The sequence below is a fragment of the Homo sapiens genome, chromosome 5 (genome assembly GCF_000001405.40).
Source record: "Homo sapiens chromosome 5, GRCh38.p14 Primary Assembly".
NCBI classification, from domain to species: domain Eukaryota; kingdom Metazoa; phylum Chordata; class Mammalia; order Primates; family Hominidae; genus Homo; species Homo sapiens.
Window position 1 is genome coordinate 55,488,653 of NC_000005.10, and position 18,446 is coordinate 55,507,098.

The 18,446-nt window shown below is 40.3% G+C and overlaps 1 protein-coding gene across 4 annotated transcripts in view, besides 2 other annotated features; it reads right to left on the reverse strand.

Annotated features, from left to right (window-relative positions):
* The window catches only part of PLPP1 (phospholipid phosphatase 1), a 110,111-nt gene that overhangs the window by 63,799 nt on the left and 27,866 nt on the right, over positions 1-18,446 (reverse strand). For 2 of the 4 annotated variants that reach the window (NR_103485.2, NM_176895.3), the window contains exon 2: positions 2,308-2,462. The exons of the other annotated variants lie outside the window; for them this stretch is intronic. Coding sequence is in view for 1 of the 2 variants with exons in the window: in NM_176895.3 (NP_795714.1) it covers positions 2,308-2,462 (155 nt within the window). In the remaining variant the exon portion in view is untranslated. The remainder of the gene's footprint in view (positions 1-2,307; positions 2,463-18,446) is intronic. 4 annotated transcript variants of the gene reach the window in all.
* Positions 13,144-13,686: an enhancer, noted in NCBI's record as "H3K4me1 hESC enhancer chr5:54797624-54798166 (GRCh37/hg19 assembly coordinates)". NCBI's record gives its function as "activates a minimal SCP1, AML or CMV promoter by ChIP-STARR-seq in naive H9 embryonic stem cells {active_cell/tissue: H9 hESC(naive)}" and the evidence as "EXISTENCE:reporter gene assay evidence [ECO:0000049][PMID:30033119]".
* Positions 13,687-14,229: an enhancer, noted in NCBI's record as "H3K4me1 hESC enhancer chr5:54798167-54798709 (GRCh37/hg19 assembly coordinates)". NCBI's record gives its function as "activates a minimal SCP1, AML or CMV promoter by ChIP-STARR-seq in naive H9 embryonic stem cells {active_cell/tissue: H9 hESC(naive)}" and the evidence as "EXISTENCE:reporter gene assay evidence [ECO:0000049][PMID:30033119]".

Here is an 18,446-nt window from a genome sequence, read left to right on the forward strand (position 1 = left end):
TAAAAATAAAAAACAAACAAACAACAACAACAACAAAAAAATGTGTCAAACTAAAGGAAACATCAAAATGCTACCAGTAGTTGTCTTCAGGTAGTAGAACTAAGGGCTATTTATTTTCTCTTTCTACTTTATAATAATTTTTTTAATTAATAAAAGATCATGGGCCAGGGGGCATGTTGCCAGGTGGCCAACACAGCGAAACCCCATTTCTACTAAAAATACAAAAATTAGCTGGAAGTGGTGACAGGCACCTGTAATTCCAGCTACTTGAGAGGCTGAGGCAGGAGAATCGCTTGAACCCGAGCTGAGGCAGAGTAGATTGCTTGAGGTCAGGAGTTCAAGACCTGCCTGGCCAACATGAAGAAACCCCATCTCTACTAAAAAAAAATACAAAAATTAACTGGGCATGGCAGCGCACGCCTATAGTCCCAGCTACTCAGGAGGCTAAGGCAGGAAAATCACCTGAACCTGGGAGGCAGAGATTGCAGTGAGCCAAGATTACACAATTGCACTCCAGCATGGGCGACAAGAGCAAAACTCCATCTCAAAAATATATATGTGTTATTATTACAATTAATTTATTCACTCTCAAGCAATTATCTCCTCAAATACAGGGGCAAGTTTTTCTTAAAAAAGAAACTTTATCTGGCAACAGTTGCTCAGAATCATGGCTACCACAACTACTTAGTACTTCATATAGTACAGAAACACCGTCTATTGTCATCCAAGTGGCAGTACTTCCCTGCACACAGTTTCTCCTAAGCTGAATAACTAAAATTTAAGTAACCAGTTATGGTGGGATGTATTTCTTAGAAAAAGAAGTATCCCCTTAAACTAAATGCTAGATTTTTCTCATTTTACTCCCATAAAAGTAGCTATAATCAAATTAGAATTATATGAATATATTAATACTTATACCTCTTAGAACATAATAAAATCCTGGACCCCTTCACCTTCAAAATACTGAGCTGCAGCCCATTAGAAAAAAATCTACCAGACAAAAAGGCAAAATGAACTCAGATACATAAGCTGAAAAAACAAACAACTAGGTTATTATTCTTAGCCAATTTGGAGGCAAAATAGAGAGAGAAAAGCCAGCCAGTCCTACAGCAGAACAAGGCTACTGAGTTTACTGAGACACTAAAGTTTTGTAAGTCATATATCTAGGAAAGGCAAGTAACAAGACAGGTGGCCAGAGGAGAAATAAGGTGTGATATGCTGCACTGCCAAGACACTCAAGGAGGTAAATCTTCACCTTGCTCCTTCCCTTCTATTTCCAAGTCACATAAAATGACAATGGCAAGATTTAGGAATGAGAGCCAAGGGTAAAGAAAGTAGGCATAATATCCCAAGTGGCAATCTTAACCTAGTTTGTGAATCTTAAACTAGAATGAAAATTTTAATTATTTAACAGTGAAGCCCAATATTGTCCTACAAATTGATGAACTATCTGAAGGACAGTACAAAGTAAGAAATAGTGACTTTTCTTTTCTTTTTTTTTTTTTTTTTTTTTTTGAGATGGAGTTTTGCTCTTGTTGCCCAGGCTGGAGTGCAATGGCATGATCTTGGCTCACTGAAATCTCCATCTCCTGGGTTCAAGCGATTCTCCTGCCTCGGCCTCCCGAGTAGCTGGGATTACAGGCATGCGCCACCACGCCCGGCTAATTCTTTATTTTTAGTAGAGACTAGGTTTCTCCATGTTGGTCAGGCTGGTCTCGAACTCCTGACCTCAGGTGATCAGCCCATCTCGGCCTCCCAAAGTGCTGGGATTACAGGTGTGAGCCACCACACCTGGCCAATAGTGACATATCTTAATGTATTCTGATAATTTTATTTTGCACATATATTTGTGGTCTTTCTGCTGAGTTTGTTTTCTCAAATTTAATATGCAAACGTTTTCCTTTTTCATGGCCTCAATTTCCACTTAACAGTATGATAAAGCAAGCATAATCTTAGTTTCAGCTCTGCCGTACGATAGCTTACTGGGCTTTAACAAGTGTCTGGACCTAAGTTTCTTCATTTGTTTACTGAGAGGAGTTGATCCAAATGACTCAAAAAGACTCTCCTATTCAAAAATAATCATTCTATCATTCTTCAGAATGACATCAAGTTGTTCTGGGTAACATCCACCTTTAACTGGAGAAACACTGCCTCTGGACTAAAACAGTGGGTATATTCCTCAAGCAATCATTCACCATATCAACACTGGTGAAGACAGTACTGTGGATTTACCCCCGCCCCAACTCCATGCTTCATCCAACCTCCAGCACAACAAACCCATCACTACCTACTTATTAATTTACTTACAGAGGAAATGGGCAAGCCAACCCCCACTAGGATGAGGACAGTGGATGTGACGGTACTGTCATGGTACGGATAGTTGATGCTGTTGTCTTTACAGAAAAAGCCTCTCTGAAATGGATATATTTGGCCCAATTTTAGAACAGCCATAGGCATGGAAGCTGTTGGGGAAGGGAAAAAAAGACACACATGATTAAATTCAATTCACTTCATTAGGAAGTAAAGTCTACTGAATGGGATGCAAATCCTAGCCATATTTTGCCCTCTCTGGAGATGGATCTCCATTATACCCAAGGGCAAAGATTAAGGAAATCATGCAGCATCATTTGCTTGTCCATATCAGCCCCACCTTTTTCCAAGTATAAATACTATTACTTGCATTGACCTCCGATTTTAGAAATAAACAATAAAAGAGACTTCCACAAGGAGGAGAGCAAAATTGGCCCATGGAAAAATAAAGCTGAGAAAACAGGAAGGTTTTCCATTTTGCATTCTGTAGTTAATTCATTTTTAATTGAATTGCTTTACATTAAACTGTGTTTAAGAAAAAAGGCAAAATTCCATAAATAAATTTAGTAATTAATATCATAACAACCAAATGTCATCCAGGAGAAGAAACATGTAAAAATTTAGGTGGCTCATGCCTGTAATCCCAGCACTTTGGGAGGCCAAGGTGGGCAGATCACTTGACATGAAGAGTTCAAGACGAGCCTGGCCAATATGATGAAACCCCGTCTCTACTAACAACACAAAAATTAGCCAGGCATGGTGGTATACACCTGTAGTCCCAGCTACTGGGCAGACTGAAGCAGGAGAATCGCTTGAACCCAGGGGACAGAGGTTGCAGTGAGTCAAGATTGTGCCACTGCACTCCAGCCTGGCCAACAGAGCAAGACTCAATCTCAGGAAAAAAAAAAAAAAAAGAAAGAAAAGAAAGAAAAAGAGAGAGAAAGAAAATGATAAAACCACAAGTATATATTCAGTAATAAAAATAGAAAGAAAAAGCCTTTTGTTTTCCAAAGACAAACAAACACCCGGTTTTATTAGCCCTGGCAAGGCTCCAAAACCACTTTTAACAAGTTATACCAAAATAATTTCAGTTGAAATTTTGCACCTAAATAAAATGACCCTGAAAGACCAAAGTTAAATAATTTAAATTAGTGGCTTCTTAAGATATTCAAATTTACCATGCTTTTAGGCTTTGTTTTATACAAACTCACTCACTATATGCGCAATACTAAGCCATACTTAGGGAAGACAAATTTGTATAAAACCAATACTAAATTCAAGAACCTAAATTGTATATGTAGAAAAATAATGTATACCCAGTAAATTGTTTAAAAACAAATCCCAAGGTAGATTTTTTGGGGAAAATGATGAAACTGTTCTGTATCTTGATTGAGATGGTAATTCCACAACTCTTTTATTGCATGTAAAGTTAAGAAGAAATACCATAAAAGGCAGAAATATGCCATAAAAATAGGAATATAATTACTAAAATGGCATAGAAGGACCTATAGGAATTCAGAGGTCAATACAGACTGGAGGAGTTAGAAAAGACTATTAAAGAAGAGGCAACTGAGTTGAAGGTGAAATGACAGGTAAAACACAAGCAATAGGGAGGAGCACAGGGAGACCATTTAGTGGTAGAGGGAGGCAGGGAAGCATGAGAATTGCATCAACAAGAGCACAAAGGGAATGAGCAAGAAGTTTTCAAGGTACACGCATTTTGTAGCCAACATGTATTGCATGCTTGCACATGCTGGGAATTAGGCCACATAGATTAACTCAATCCTTACCTCACCTCTGTGAAGTAGGTATTATCACTACCTGCTTTTTTCATATAACGTTGTTGAAGCTTAGAGAAATGAGGAACATTGCTGAAACTAGGAAGTGGTGGAACCAGGATTCCAACACAAGCTATCTCTTCCAGAGTTAGGGAATATACGGCCTCCCATGGAGACAAGTGATCTGGCTAGGTTAACAGGTTAGAATATGATTGGGAGAAGGGGAACCTGTCCTTTAAAAACCTCACTCAGTATAATACATGTTGTGTTCACGATAAGAACTCAAAGTAGGCTGAGTACGGTGGGTCACACCTATAAACCCAACACGTTGAAAGGCTGAGGCAGAAGGACCCCTTAAGTTCAGGAGTTCAAGACTAGCCTGGGCAACATATTGAGACCTCGTCTCTACAAAAGAAATTTTTTAATTGGCTGGGCATGGTGGCATGTGCCTGTAGTCCCAGCTACTCAGGAGGGTGAGGCAGGAGGATCCCTTGAGCCCAAGAGGTAAAGGCTTCAGTAAGCCATGTTCACACTACTGCACCCCAGCCTGGGCAACAGGACAAGACCCTGTCTCAAAAAAAAAAAAAAGAAGAAGAAAAAACTGAAAGTTAATGGAACAGTGTATTATTTGCTATAGATTATCTCTGAATTCTGCAATTCTATGGTTTTTCATGGGAATAACAGTGCTTGAGATTTCTGTGTTTATTAAAAGATTATAGGACTCAGGCATGGTGACTAACACCTGTAATCCCAGTAACTCAGGAGGCTGAGGCGGGAGGATCACTTGAGGCCAGAAGTTCAAGACCATTCTGGGCAACACAGCAAGACCCTGTCTCTAAAAAATATTTTTAAAAATTAGCTGGGTGGCTGGGTGAGGTGGCTCATGTTTCTAATCCCAGCACTTTGGGAAGCCGAGGCGGGTGGATCACAAGGTCAGGAGATCAAGACCATCCTGGCTAACACAGTGAAACCCCATCTATACTAAAAATACAAAAAATTAGCTGGGCGTAGTGGCTGTAGTCCCAACTACTTGGAAGGCTGAGGCAGGAGAATCACTTGAACCTGGGAGGCAGAGATTGCAGTGAGCTGAGATCGCGCCACTGTACTCCAGCCTGGGCGACAGAGCGAGACTCCATCTCAAAAAAAAAAAAAAAAAATAGCTGGTCATAGTGGCACACACCTATAGTCCAGACATTTGGGAAGCTCAGGCAGAAGGATCACTTGAGCCCAAGAATTCGAGGCTACGGTGAGCCATGATTATGCCACTGCATTCCAACATGGGTGCAGAGCAAGACTCCCAACTCCAAAGAAAGAAAAAGGATTATGGGTTTAAAACACTTGGAAAGGATGTAAGTTTGTAGGAAATAAAATATCACTGTCCTCTTTTGCTCAGGGTCAGCAACATGGTAAAATGAGGAATTTTAGAAATTAACTTCCAGGAAAAAAAAAAAAGGGAGAGAGAGAGCAAGAAGAAACACAAATATTTACAGTTTTGAAATTATCTACTAATTAGGTGATAAGTAGTGTGTAGATAGTGGAAACAGAATAGGATGCAGAGAAGAATGTTTTGAATATAGAAATGATACAAAACTTGAGCACTGATCACAAATGCTGAGGCAGACCTGAAGATGGCACTTCAGGGTTTGGACATATGAAGAACGAAAGTTCCATTGATAGAAATGAGAAGTTGCCAGGGGGAGCTCATTTATGGTGGAAGAACATTAGTTTAGTATTGAGAACACTGCCTTTGGGGCAATCTGGCACCTCCCTAAATGCTCAGCCTCATCTTCCACTGTCCCCTTAAGGCTCCAATCACACTGAACCACTTGCTGTTGCCGAAACATACTGTTTTCAAAACCCTAGGTTTCACAGGGATTTGAAATGCTCAGCCTTCTACTGCGGATAGTTGCTCTCTCATTTCTCCTTCAAGTCCAAGCCAGGTACTCCCTTCTTATCTGTCCCATGGCACCATGTACATATGTCTATCACGCTGTACTTTAACTTTTTATGTGTGTGTCAGCAACTCTGAGGGCAAAGGCTACCTTTACCATTTTTGTATCCTTTGTACCAGGCACACAGATCTGAACAAAAATTTATTGGCCAGGCGCAGTGGCTCACGCCTGCAATCCTAGCACTTTGGGAGGCAAAGGCTGGCAGATCACGAGGTCAGGAGTTCGAGACCAGCCTGGCCAACATGGCGAAACCCTGTCTCTACTAAAAAAAATACAAAAAAAAAAAAAAATAGCCGGGCATGGTGGCGGGCACCCAAAATCCCAGCTACTCAGGAGGCTGAGGCAGTAGAATCGCTTGAACCCGGGAGGCAGAGGTTGTGGTGAGCTGAGATGGCGCCATTGCACTCCAGCCTGGGCAACAAGAGCAAAACTCTGTCTCCAAAAAAAAAAAAAAAAAATGTATTAAATGGCTAAGTGAATAAAATTCAGGGTAAAGATCAGAAGTAGAGAAAGATGTGTAAGTTGTTGGCATTAGAATTTGCAACTTAAGCTAGGAGAATAAAACAGTTCTTACAGAAGGCAAATCAAGACTAAAAGAAACAAAGCAATTAGCTAAGGACTAATATCCACAGAGAAAACATGAAAAGAGGCTATAGGAGAGGAAGAAAGGATGCTCACAGGCTCCAAGGGGCAAGGGCTGTGTCTGTCTTGTTCAGCAGCATAGTCTGGCCATTCTTTAAACAAAAGAATGAATGAACAATAGAGAAGTAGGACAATGTTGTGATACAAAAACCAAAGCTCAGAGTATCTAGTACATGGCAAATCTAATATATCAAATGCTAAGACATCAAGGAGCATGAGAACTGAGTAAAGACTGAGGTCTTTACTGAGAATATATTATACCGTCTCCACTAATACAACAATGGTATCTTCATAAAGAAACTTAGTATTGAGCATTGTTCAATATCGGGTTGTCATTGTCTAAGCATGCCTTTCTTCAAGTTAAATATGTCAAAATTATGTCCCCTATTGTTCATATGTATTACACACACACACACACAGAGGAATGTCCATCCCTCCAGAGTAAACAGGTATCACTATTCCAAAAAGCAATGGAATAGTCTTTATCTGCTACTGAGATCATTTTTGTTTTGTTTTGTTTTGTTTTTGTTTTTGTTTTGAGACAGAGTCTTGCTCTGTCGCCCAGGCTGGAGTAGTGCAGAGGTGCGATCTTGGCTCACTGCAACCTCTGCCTCCCAGTTTCAAGTGATTCTCCGACTTCAGCCTCCTGATTAGCTGGGACCACAGGCACGCGCCACCAAGCCCCGCTAATTTTTGTAGTTTCAGTAAAGACGGGTTTTCACCATGTTGGCCAGGCTCATCTTGAACTCCTGCCCTCAAGTGATCCACCTGCCTCGGCCTCCCAAAGTGCTGGGATTACAGACATGAGCCACCACACCTGGCCAAGATTATTTTTAATGTTAATTTTTTAGAGTAGTGATGAGAGTTCTGTGTTAAAGTTAGTGTTCTAGGAAGACTCTTCTCCTTATAAACACTTTCTTAGGACAGATACACTTTTTCCTTAATACCTAAAGAACATAGATACTGTTTTGACCCTAATCATAGTTCTAGGATATTTTTCTCTTAATTAAAATTTCCTTAAGAGGAGTCACTTTTAAAACTATGTAATAACCGCCGGGCGTGGTGGCTCACCCTCTACCTGGGACTACAGCTGCTATCAGGCAGCCTTCTCCACAAAGCTCTCTTTTTGAGGTAGCACTCCTTCTCTTTGCACTTCAGGTCTATGGGGCAATATTCCCATCCTCTCTGTTGCTAGCCCAGGATACTACAATATCTCTTGTTGATTTTCTAAACTCTGCCCACCTATTTGTGAATACTTGTTTCATTTAATCCTCTTCAAATTATCCAGCTTGAATATGCCATCTGTTTCCTATCAGGGCCATGGGTGACAGTACCACATACATATTTTGATCTTGCTAAACACAACTGTTAGGCATGTATGTCTGCTCTTAGTGCACTACTCCTATGATATGTTGAGGAAAACAGACACATGAATACCTGGATAGATGTAAACAGATGTTCCCATATTCTCCTCAATTCAGTGATAATTGAAACCTCTTCCATTTTATTAAATATATGTCATACATACTTCCTCAAATATGTGCTATTACAAAATATTCCAATGGAATAAATCTAAAATGCATTTTACAAAGAGAAAGACTAAAGTAAATCAATGTTAATCCCTAATATGTAGAAGGTAAAGAAAAAGTACTAAATTTATTTTGAAAACAATGAAATAAAAATCAAGTTATTAAAGTGACTACACTGATTCATGTACCCACTCCCTCAATTTTCTCTAAAGATCTCATTTCAGACATTTAAATGAATATTATGCTACACAACAGGGAAACTCAGATGTCCATCCCCTCCTTATTCATTCAAACATTTCCACTGCCATAATATGGCAGCTGCAACGCCAAGAAAGAAGAAAGGAAAAAAGACTAAAAGAGGTGAAGAATGAAAAAGACCTCAAAGAAATTTTTTTTTTAAGAGACTGGGTCTTACTCTGTCACCTAGGGTGGAGTCCAGTGGTAGGATCATAGTTCATTGTAACCTTGAACTCTTGGGCTCAGGCAATCCTCTCACCTCAGCCTCCCAAGTAGCTGTGACTACAGGCCTGTGCTACCATTCCTGGCTAATTTTTTCTTTTTTTTTTTTTGGTAGGGACAGAGTCTCACTATGTTTCCTAGGCTGGTCTCAAACTCCTGGACTCAAGCAATCCTCCTGCCTCGGCCTCCCAAAGTGCTGGGATTACACATATAAACCACCATGCCCAGCCACCACAGAACTTTTAATAAAAGAGGGAAATCAGTACTACAGGAAAATAACACAGCTGTAACTGCAAGCATGACTGACATTTAGGTTTGGGCAACACAGCCATCAGGATCCCAGCAGGAAACAGATAGCACCCCCAAACTGGGTAATTTAAGGAGAGTTTAAGAAAGGGACTATTTACAAGGTGTGAAGGGTGTGGGCACAGTCAAAAGATAGTGCAACCTCCTGAAGCTGCTATCATCTACAGACTTGGAAAGACAAAGAGGGCCCCATGATATGAGCCATGCCCTCTGGGAGAGCCAACATGACATGATCTTGCAGGAGGAAACCAGGAAAATAAACACAGCAACTCTACTCTCCTCCTGCCAGTGCTATCCATTGTCCAAACCCATCTAGAAGCCAGTCTCAGGCTCCTGAGACTGAGGGCAGGGAAGGCAATGACAGAAAGCAGGTCCACAGGGGCAATGGAAGATAAGCAGAACCAGGAGGGAACAGAAGGTAAAGCCAGTTGGGGTCTCAGTAGGGAGCTGAAACCTAAAAGTGAGTAATTCAAGATAGATTAACAAAGGGGCTATTTATAGAGTCTATATTAAGACTACATATTAAGAACATTGGGTTTTATTCTGTGGGTAACAAGGAGACACAATTCCAATCTGTGTGCTAATGGAGGGGCTATGAAAAGAGCTGTGTAAAGAAAAAAAACAGTGTGAAGACAGAAATACTAGTGTATATTAGAGATGTTAAGGGCCTGAAACAAAGAAATAACAGTGGGAACAGGAAAAAGAGGTAGATCCTAAAGATGTTTAGGAAGTTATTCCTACACAACTGTGGATCGTGTCTCTGTGTACATATAGATGTGTGTGTATCTAAAACACACACACACACACACACCTCTTCAGCCTTTGTTGTATCTGCAAAATATAATTTCCATTTTTCCCTTTCCCTAATTACCACCTAATAACATGCCCTGCATAATCTTGCTTACAGTAAGCATTTCAAGGAATATTTATGAAATGAATGAATAAACAAGTGAGCAAAGCTTCTGAAACATATAAACAATAATCTTATGTAACCATAAACTTAGATCCTGAAAAGCTGTATGTGACTTGTCACACCAAAGGGCTCAAGTTCAAACAAACAAACCAAGAAGGGACAAAAAAAAAAAAAGGTGAACAATCTGAAGTCCAAGAACACGCTAGGGAAGCACTTACAATTCTATACTCTAGCAACTCTTTCTCACGCTGTTTTCCATTGGGAACACAAACTGCTAACAAAAATAAACAAACTGAATATACCCATGTTAACTGCTCAAACAAATTTTTAAATCACAAACTACTGGAATCTTGAAGGCAATTTGTGTACGCTCCAGCATTACCTCTAAGCAAACCTTCAAATATGGCTACTGTAGAAGCACTGAGCTCTCAGCAGCACCCCTCACTCTTTCCTCAATGAGAAAAGAAGTTGAGGCCCCAATTGCATCCTCTTTACTGATCCACCCAAAACAAACTCCCTGCAGGAAAGTAGAGGGATAAGATTTCCAAAGGAGATGCTGAAGAGTAAAAAGCAATCACACTTCAAAATAGGACTTTACAAATAATTAACAACAGCTCCAGATCCATCCTGTTCTCTTCTCTAGAACCACTAGAAACTCTCAGATCTGAAACTGTATCATAGATTACACACCTACATATCCCACTCCATGATACACATGTTGAACTTCCTATGTCCATATCCATCCTCCACATCCTCAGAGTTAGCAAACGAGTTAGACATCTAAGACTTTGTTCCAAGATTCCCATGTAAAAAGTTTTCACATACTATACAAGTTTACAGTATACAATATACTATGCACTCTCAGTAAAAAGGACAAATTATAATGTGGTCTCTTATTCACCAGTAAAAAAATATCTGCTCTTACTGGAAGCACCTAAAATAATCAGGCAGCCTACCTCACAAGACTCTTAAACAGCAATCCTGCTAGTCTCAGAGCAATTTATAAACCTAAATGAGAAAACACAAACATGCTCCAGAGAAAGGTTTGCTTTATAACTAAAAGATTCATAACATTGTTGTTCATGGATGTGAACAACTCCATGAGTCCTCAGACTGTGAGTCTTTAGAGTTTCACTACTCAAAAAAAAAATAAATAAATAGTTAATAATCTTATATGGCCCTTCTCATATATGTCCAAGAAGAATGGAAACAAACATTGACTGAGCACCTATTATAAGTCACCGCAATGCTAAGGTACTTGCATATATACCTGAAATATAAATATATTCTTATAGGAATACCATAAAAGAATATATATTTCAAATATCCTACCATAAAATCCGGTAGAATATATTTATATTTCACATATATATTTATATCTCAGATATAAGAGATATATTTATATTTGACATCCTACCATAAAATATGGAAAAATTAAAAATTAAAACAAAAAAATATAATCAATGAGTATACAGCATAAAACCAAGCAAAATAAGTAAAAACATCATATATGGTATAATTTGATTTCTCTAAAAATTTTTTTTTTTTTTTTTTTTGAGACAGAGTCTCGCTCTGTCACCCAGGCTGGAGTGCAGTGGCGCAATCTCGGCTCACTACAAGCTCCACTTCCCGGGTTCACACCATTCTCCTACCTCAGCCTCCCGAGTAGCTGGGACTACAGGCGCCCGCCACCACGCCCAGCTAATTTTTTGTATTTTTAGTAGAGACGGGGTTTCACCGTGTTAGCCAGGATGGTCTTGATCTCCTGACCTCATGAACCCCCTGCCTCAGCCTCCCAAAGTCTTGGGATTACAGGCGTGAGCCACCACGCCTGGCCTAAAATTATTTATGTTTATATATAAATAAACATTGGGAAGTCTGGAAAAACATATGACCAACTTCTAAGTAGTTATCTTCAGAGATGGTATTTTTTTTAAGCCAGTCAAATTTAACAGTGGGGGCTAAATAGCAGAGATGGTACTAATACAAATCAAATCAGGGAGAAAACTTATTTTCTACTGTATATACTTCCATGTTTGAATATTTTATAATAAAACAAAAGACCAAAATCATCACATTTGAAGTTTTATTCTGTGGGTAGCAGGGAGACACACAATCCAATCTGTACTCTAACTGAGGGGGCTGTGAAAAGAGCTGTGTAAAGAAAAAAGCAGTGTGAAGACAGAATAGACGGCAAGGCCAGAGGCAAGAAATACCAGTGTATATGAGAGATGTTAAGGGCCTGAAACAAAGAAATAACGGGGGGAACAGGAAAAAGAGGTAGATTCTAAAGGTGTTTGAGATGCTCTATCACAATAAAAACATTTTTTGTTTCTTGAAATTATGCCTATAACTTACCTGAAATCATCCATACTATCCTTTTCCTTGTAATTAATCATAAATTTATCTGAAAAAGTCCTACCTATATTAAGAAGATTGAAACTAGAGCAAAGGAAAAGTCTATTTTCTTACTCTGTTAAAACACAAAGCAGGCCAGGCATGGTGGCTCACCCCTGTAACCCCAGCACGTTGGGAGGCCGAGGCGGGCGGATCACAACGTCAGGAGTTTGAGACCAGCCTGGCCAACATGGCAAAACCCCATCTCTACTAAAAATACAAAAATTAGCTGGGCACAGAGGCGGATGCCTGTAATCCCAGCTACTCAGGAGGCTTTGACAGAACAATCACTTGAACCCAGGAGGCAGAGGTTGCAGTGAGCTGAGATCATGCCATTGCACTCCAGCCTGGACAACAAAAGCAAGACTCCGTCTCAAAAAAAACAAACAAACAAATAAACAAAAAAACACAAAGCAGTAAAAACTAACGTATAGCCTTTATGCCTAATTGATAGGTTCTCAGAGAAGTAGCCCTACAGCAAAATAATTACTTTTGGCGATTTTCCCTCTCTTGCAACTTTAGAGATCTATGATGATTTCCTTAAAAATGTATGAAACAAAGCTAATTTATTTATTTATTTTTTGAGACAGAGTTTCGCTTTTGTTGCCCAGGCTGGAGTGCAATGGCGTGATCTTGGCTCACTGCCAACTCCAACTCCTGGGTTCAAGCAATTCTCCTGCCTCAGCCTCCTGAGGAGCTGGGATTACAAGAATGCACTACCAAACCTGGCTAATTTTGTATTTTTAGCAGAGACAGAGTTTCTCCATGTTGGCCAGGCTGGTCTGGAACTCCTGACCTCAGGTGATCCACCCCCCTCAGCCTCCCAAAGTGCTGGGATTACAGGCGTGAGCCACTGTGCCCCGCCACTAACTTTTTAAATTGGAAATTTTGTTGTAACATTTTGGGCCCTTCCAGACATGCTTACAGAGAGAGTAGAAATAACCTTGAGACTCAAGAGTTCAGTAGAAGGGGATAAATACAAGCCATAACAGTGCTTTGATTTAGTCACCACTTCTTGAAAAATCTTATAAAATAATGGCACTCAGGCAGATCATTATAAAAGAGTGGCACTGTCTTTTTAATTATGTAAAAAGCAAAAGAATATTACTCTAGTAAGCCTTTCAAGTTTTTTACTTTCAAATATCAAAGTTAATTACGCATTAATATAAACCAGCTTTAGTCTGATGGGAGAAAAAGGAAAGAAAATACATAATTTTATCTAGGGCAGTGCTAGCCAATAAAATTTTCTGTGATAAAAGAAATGTCCAGGCTGGGCGTGGTGGCTCATGCCTGTAATCCCAGCACTTAGGGAGGCCGAAGCAGGCAGATCACGAGGTCAAGAGATCAAGGCCATCCTGGCCAACATGGTGAAACCCCGTCTCTACGAAAAAGACAAAAATTAGCCAGGCATGGTGGCGCACACCTGTAGTCCCAGCTACTCGGAAGGCTGAGGCAGGAGAATCACCTGAACCCAGGAGGTGGAGGTTGCAGTGAGCCGAGATCGTGCCACTGCACTCCAGCCTAGTGACAAGAGTGAGACTCCGTCTCAAAAAAAAAAAAAAAATGTCCAATACAATGTGTTGTCCAGTGCAGTAGCTACTAGTCACATGAGGCTACAGAGCTCTTGATATATGGCTAGTGTGACTGAAGGACTGAACTTTCAATTGTATTAAATTTTAATTAATTTAATTTTAAATTGCTATATGCAGCTAATGGATCTCATGCTGGATAATGCAGATCTAGGGGGTTAAAAATAAACTGACAGGTTGAGCATTAAATTTCCAAAACATATTAACACAAGGCACTAATTTTGATTCCAGAAACATAAGAGGGAATAATTATAAAGTACTTGAGTAAACATAGGTTTTATTGTGAGCCAGTGCTCAGAAAAAAAAACTCCCCCACGTGCATACATTTAGTGCTTCCTCTGAAGAACCTATCACTGCTTCATCCTTCAAATTTTAGAATCCTGAGCTAGCTTCTCTTTTCAGGCAATGACGCCTTCATGTAAAGGGAAGCAAGAGAGCCAGTCAAGTATGACTGGGTACCCTCCTACCTCTCTCACCAGCCTCAGGTCTTCCCTATTCTTTTGTCCTGGGGTAAAACCTTTCATCTCTAACCCAACAGTGTCTTCTTGTCTTCTGGCTGTCCAAAGCTGCCTTTTACAGTATCGCATCTCCACTGCAGCTACCAACTGCTTCCTCTTACTCCCAGAACTGTTCCTACCCTCAGGTGAGGCCCAAAATGCTTGGCTTAGCTGTATCAAAACTTTACTAATCAAAGGCATTTACAGTTTTGTAATTCATACCAGGTATTACAATATTTATGCTTATAACATATCATGTTCAGTAGTTTTAAGTTGCACTACATTAAAAGTCAAATCCTGATCTTAGTATATTGCCTGGTCATCTGGCTGTAATGTGAGGAATTAAAAGGAACACCAAATCTCACTCAAGTGGGAAGTAGTCATTACTATCAGAGCAGGAAAAAATAAATTACTTCCTTTTAAGCTTCTCAATTTATCTCAACTAATGAAGTCTAAAATGTTGTTTCTTGGCTGGGTGCGGTAGTTCATGCCTGTAATCTCAGCACTTTGGGAGGCCGAGGCAGGCAGATCACCTGAGGTCAGGAGCTCAAGACCAAACTGGCCAACATGGTAAAACCCCATCTCTGCTAAAAAAAAATACAAAAATTAGTCTGGCATGGTAGCATGTGCACCTGTAATCCCAGCTACTCAGGAGGCTGAAGCAGAATTGCTTGAACCCAGGAGGTGGAGGTTGCAGTGAGCAGAGGTCGTGCCACTGCACTCCAGCCTGGGCAACAGAGAGAGGCTGTCTCAAAACGAAGGAGAGGAAGGGGAGGAAGGGGAGGAAGGGGAGGGGAGGGAAGAGGGGATGAAGGGGAGGGGAGAGAGGAGGGGAGGAGAGGGGGCAGGGGAAGAAGTAGAGGGGGGAGGAAGTAGAGGGGGGAGGAAGGGGGGGGAGGAATGGGAGAGGAGGGAGGGAGGGGTGGTTCTTAATTTCTTGGGGATTATGGACCTCCTTAAGACTAATGGAACGGGTGCGGTGGCTCACACCTGTCATCTCAGCACTTTGAGAGGTGGGTGGATTGCCTGAGATCAGGCAATTTTGTTTAAAAACACAAAAATTAGGCCGGGTGTGGTGGCTCACGCCTATAATCCCAGCACTTTGGGAGGCTGAGGTGGGTGGATCAGGAGGTCAGGAGTTTAAGACCAGGCTGGCCAAGATGGTGAAACCCCGTCTCTACTAATAATACAAAAATTAGCCGGGTGTGGTACCAGGTGCCTGTAATCCCAGCAACTTAGGCTGAGGCAGAGAATTGCTTGAACCCAGGAGGCGGAGGTTGCAGTGAGCAGACAGTGTCCTACTGCACTCCAGCCTGGGCGACAGAGACTCTGTATCAAAAAAAAAAAAAAAGCCAGGGATGGTGGTGCACGCCTGTTGTCCCAGCTACTTGGGAGGCTGAGGCAGGAGGAGAAGCGCTTGAACCCAGGAGATGGAGGTTGCAGTGAGCCGAGATTGTGCCACTCCACTCCAGTCTGGGAGACAGAGCAAGACTCCATCTCAAAAAAAAAAAAAAAAAAAAAAAAAGACTAATGAAACTAGGGACCCTTTCCCCAAAAACAAAATTTTTGTTGCCATGCAGGGCAACATGCACCTACATATACATACACATACACACTAAAGGTCATCTAAGGACACTTCTATTACTAAAGTGTAAGAAATATAATCTAAAATAATTAGTATATAGAAGCCCATAGACTAAACTGTTCAGCAGAATATGACTTCACAGAAGACTGGAATTAACACTTGATATTTCCACTTTTGATATTTCCACTTTTTCCCCTAACTTTCCTTTTTTTTTTTTTTTTGAGAGTGTTTCACTCTGTCACCCAGGCTTGAGTGCAGTGACACCAACATGGCTCACCACAGCCTCAACCTCTGAAGCTCAGGTAATCCTCCCACCATAGCCTTCTGAGTAGCTTGAACTATAGGTGCACATCACCACACCCGGCTAATTTTTGTATTTTATGTAGAGACAGGATTTTGCCATGTTGCCCAGGCTGGTCTCAAACTCCTGGTCGCAAGTGATGCGTCCGCCTTGGCCTCCCAAAGTGCTAGAATTACAGGTGTGAGCCATCCTCTCTAAATTCTAGAGAAAGAATTTGGAAGGGCTAAATTTCCTTCTCTCCCTTACCTCCTCCCAATTTTACCCTCTTCTTATCATCCCCCTATATTTTCTATACTTCATCTACTCAATTGGCTATCATGCAGAACTAAAGTCACTTTTAGTATTATTTACACTTATTGGCAATTGTGTATTTCCCATTCTCATTTCAAAAGTAGACGTTAGGCCAGTTGCAGTGGCTCACACCTGTAATCCCAACACTTTGGAAGGCCAAGGCAGGAGGATCACTTGAGGCCAGGAGTTCAAGACCAGCCTGAACAACATAGGGAGACTCCCATCTCTACACATCTATACACACGCAAAAAAAAAAACAAATAGCAGAGGTTTATTTCTTTAAGGAAAAATGAAAACATTTATTGAGTATCTACTATTTGCCTGATATTTGCCCACATATTATCTCTAATCTTAACAATTCTGTAACGGAGAAAAAAAAAGGTCTCCCCAAAATATCTATGTTTGAAAACTTAAGAGTCAATGAGTCACAGGTCAAGAAAAGTCAAAAGGTCAATGACAAAATAGTTAAAAGTGAACAAGGAAAATACCACAAGTCGAAACTTAAAGGATACAGCTAAAATACCACATGAAAATTGTAAACCCTTAAATTCCTGCATTAGAAATTAATAAAACTGGCTGGTGCAGTGGCTCACGCCTGTAATCCTAACACTTTGGGAGGCTGAGGTGGCCGGATCACTTGAGGTCAGGTGTTCAAGACCAGCCTGGCCAACATGGCAAAACTCCATCTCTACTAAAATCACAAAAATTAGCCAGGCATGATGGCGCATGCCTGTGCTCCCAGCTACTCTGGAAGCTGAGGCAGGAGAATCGCTTGAACCTGGGAGGCAGAGGTTGCAGGGAGCTGAGATCACGCCACTGCACTCCAGCGTAGGCAACAGAGCAAGACTCTGTCTCAAAACAAAACAAAACAAAACAAAACAAAAACCTTATTTTTAAAAGCTCAAGAAACTAAAAGCAATATAGAACAGAAATTAAGGAAATGAAAAATAAAGGAAAAGACTATCAACAAAACCAAATGCCTTTTTTTAAACAGGCTGATGAAATGGTCAGTCCTACTTTAGCTTAAGAATATAAAAGAAGACACAAATACAGCAAATTACTAAAAAAAAAAAAAAAAGGCACTAATTGTATCTCTGGGCTAAATTTCATCAAACTCAGAGACACTAAGTAACTCACCCAAGTGCACAGCACTTGAGTGAACACTAAGGCAGATAATCCAGTATTACACAGTTGGTAAGCAGGGAAACCAAAACTTTAACAAAAAGTTTCTCTTCTTTTCACCACATTACACAGCCTCTCTCTTAGGAAAGGAGCCTAACTTCCAGGGTCTCTATGTGATACACACAATAAATCTTAACCCTATTAAATTTGGTTAAGTAGCCATCCTGCTGCAAACTATGGAAGAGAAATGTTGAAACCTCAGCAAAATGTATAAGAAAAATAAACAGTGTGGGAGTTGCTTCTAGGAGCTGATTTTTTACCAAAAAGGTAATAAATAAAACTAATATGTAAGAAACACATTCCATTCCCCCCAAAATTCCGGCATATGTAAATTTAACCATGTTTGTACATTTTTCTACATGTATATTTGGATCTGACAAGTTAAGTCTACAGTTACTTTTGTGAAGTTTGCTTCCATGAACCCTTTCATTTTCTCCTTTTAGTAGTCAAAGGTTAGAAGTAAATAAAATTTTTTTTGGCTCTTTACTACTTTGTTACCTGAGCAGTTTTCAGAAAGTTTATTTATTCCAAACTTAAGGAATGTTCTCTGTGTCCAATTCAGTTTGGACAAAATACATTTTGGGGAGAAAAATATGCAATATATTTCTTGCTTTCTTTGGAAACAGGTGTTGCAAATTCTTTCCAGAATCACATGAAAAATTCTCCTACTAATCAAGTTGTGTGTTATTTCTGAACAGAAAGGGTTCTCTTCCCC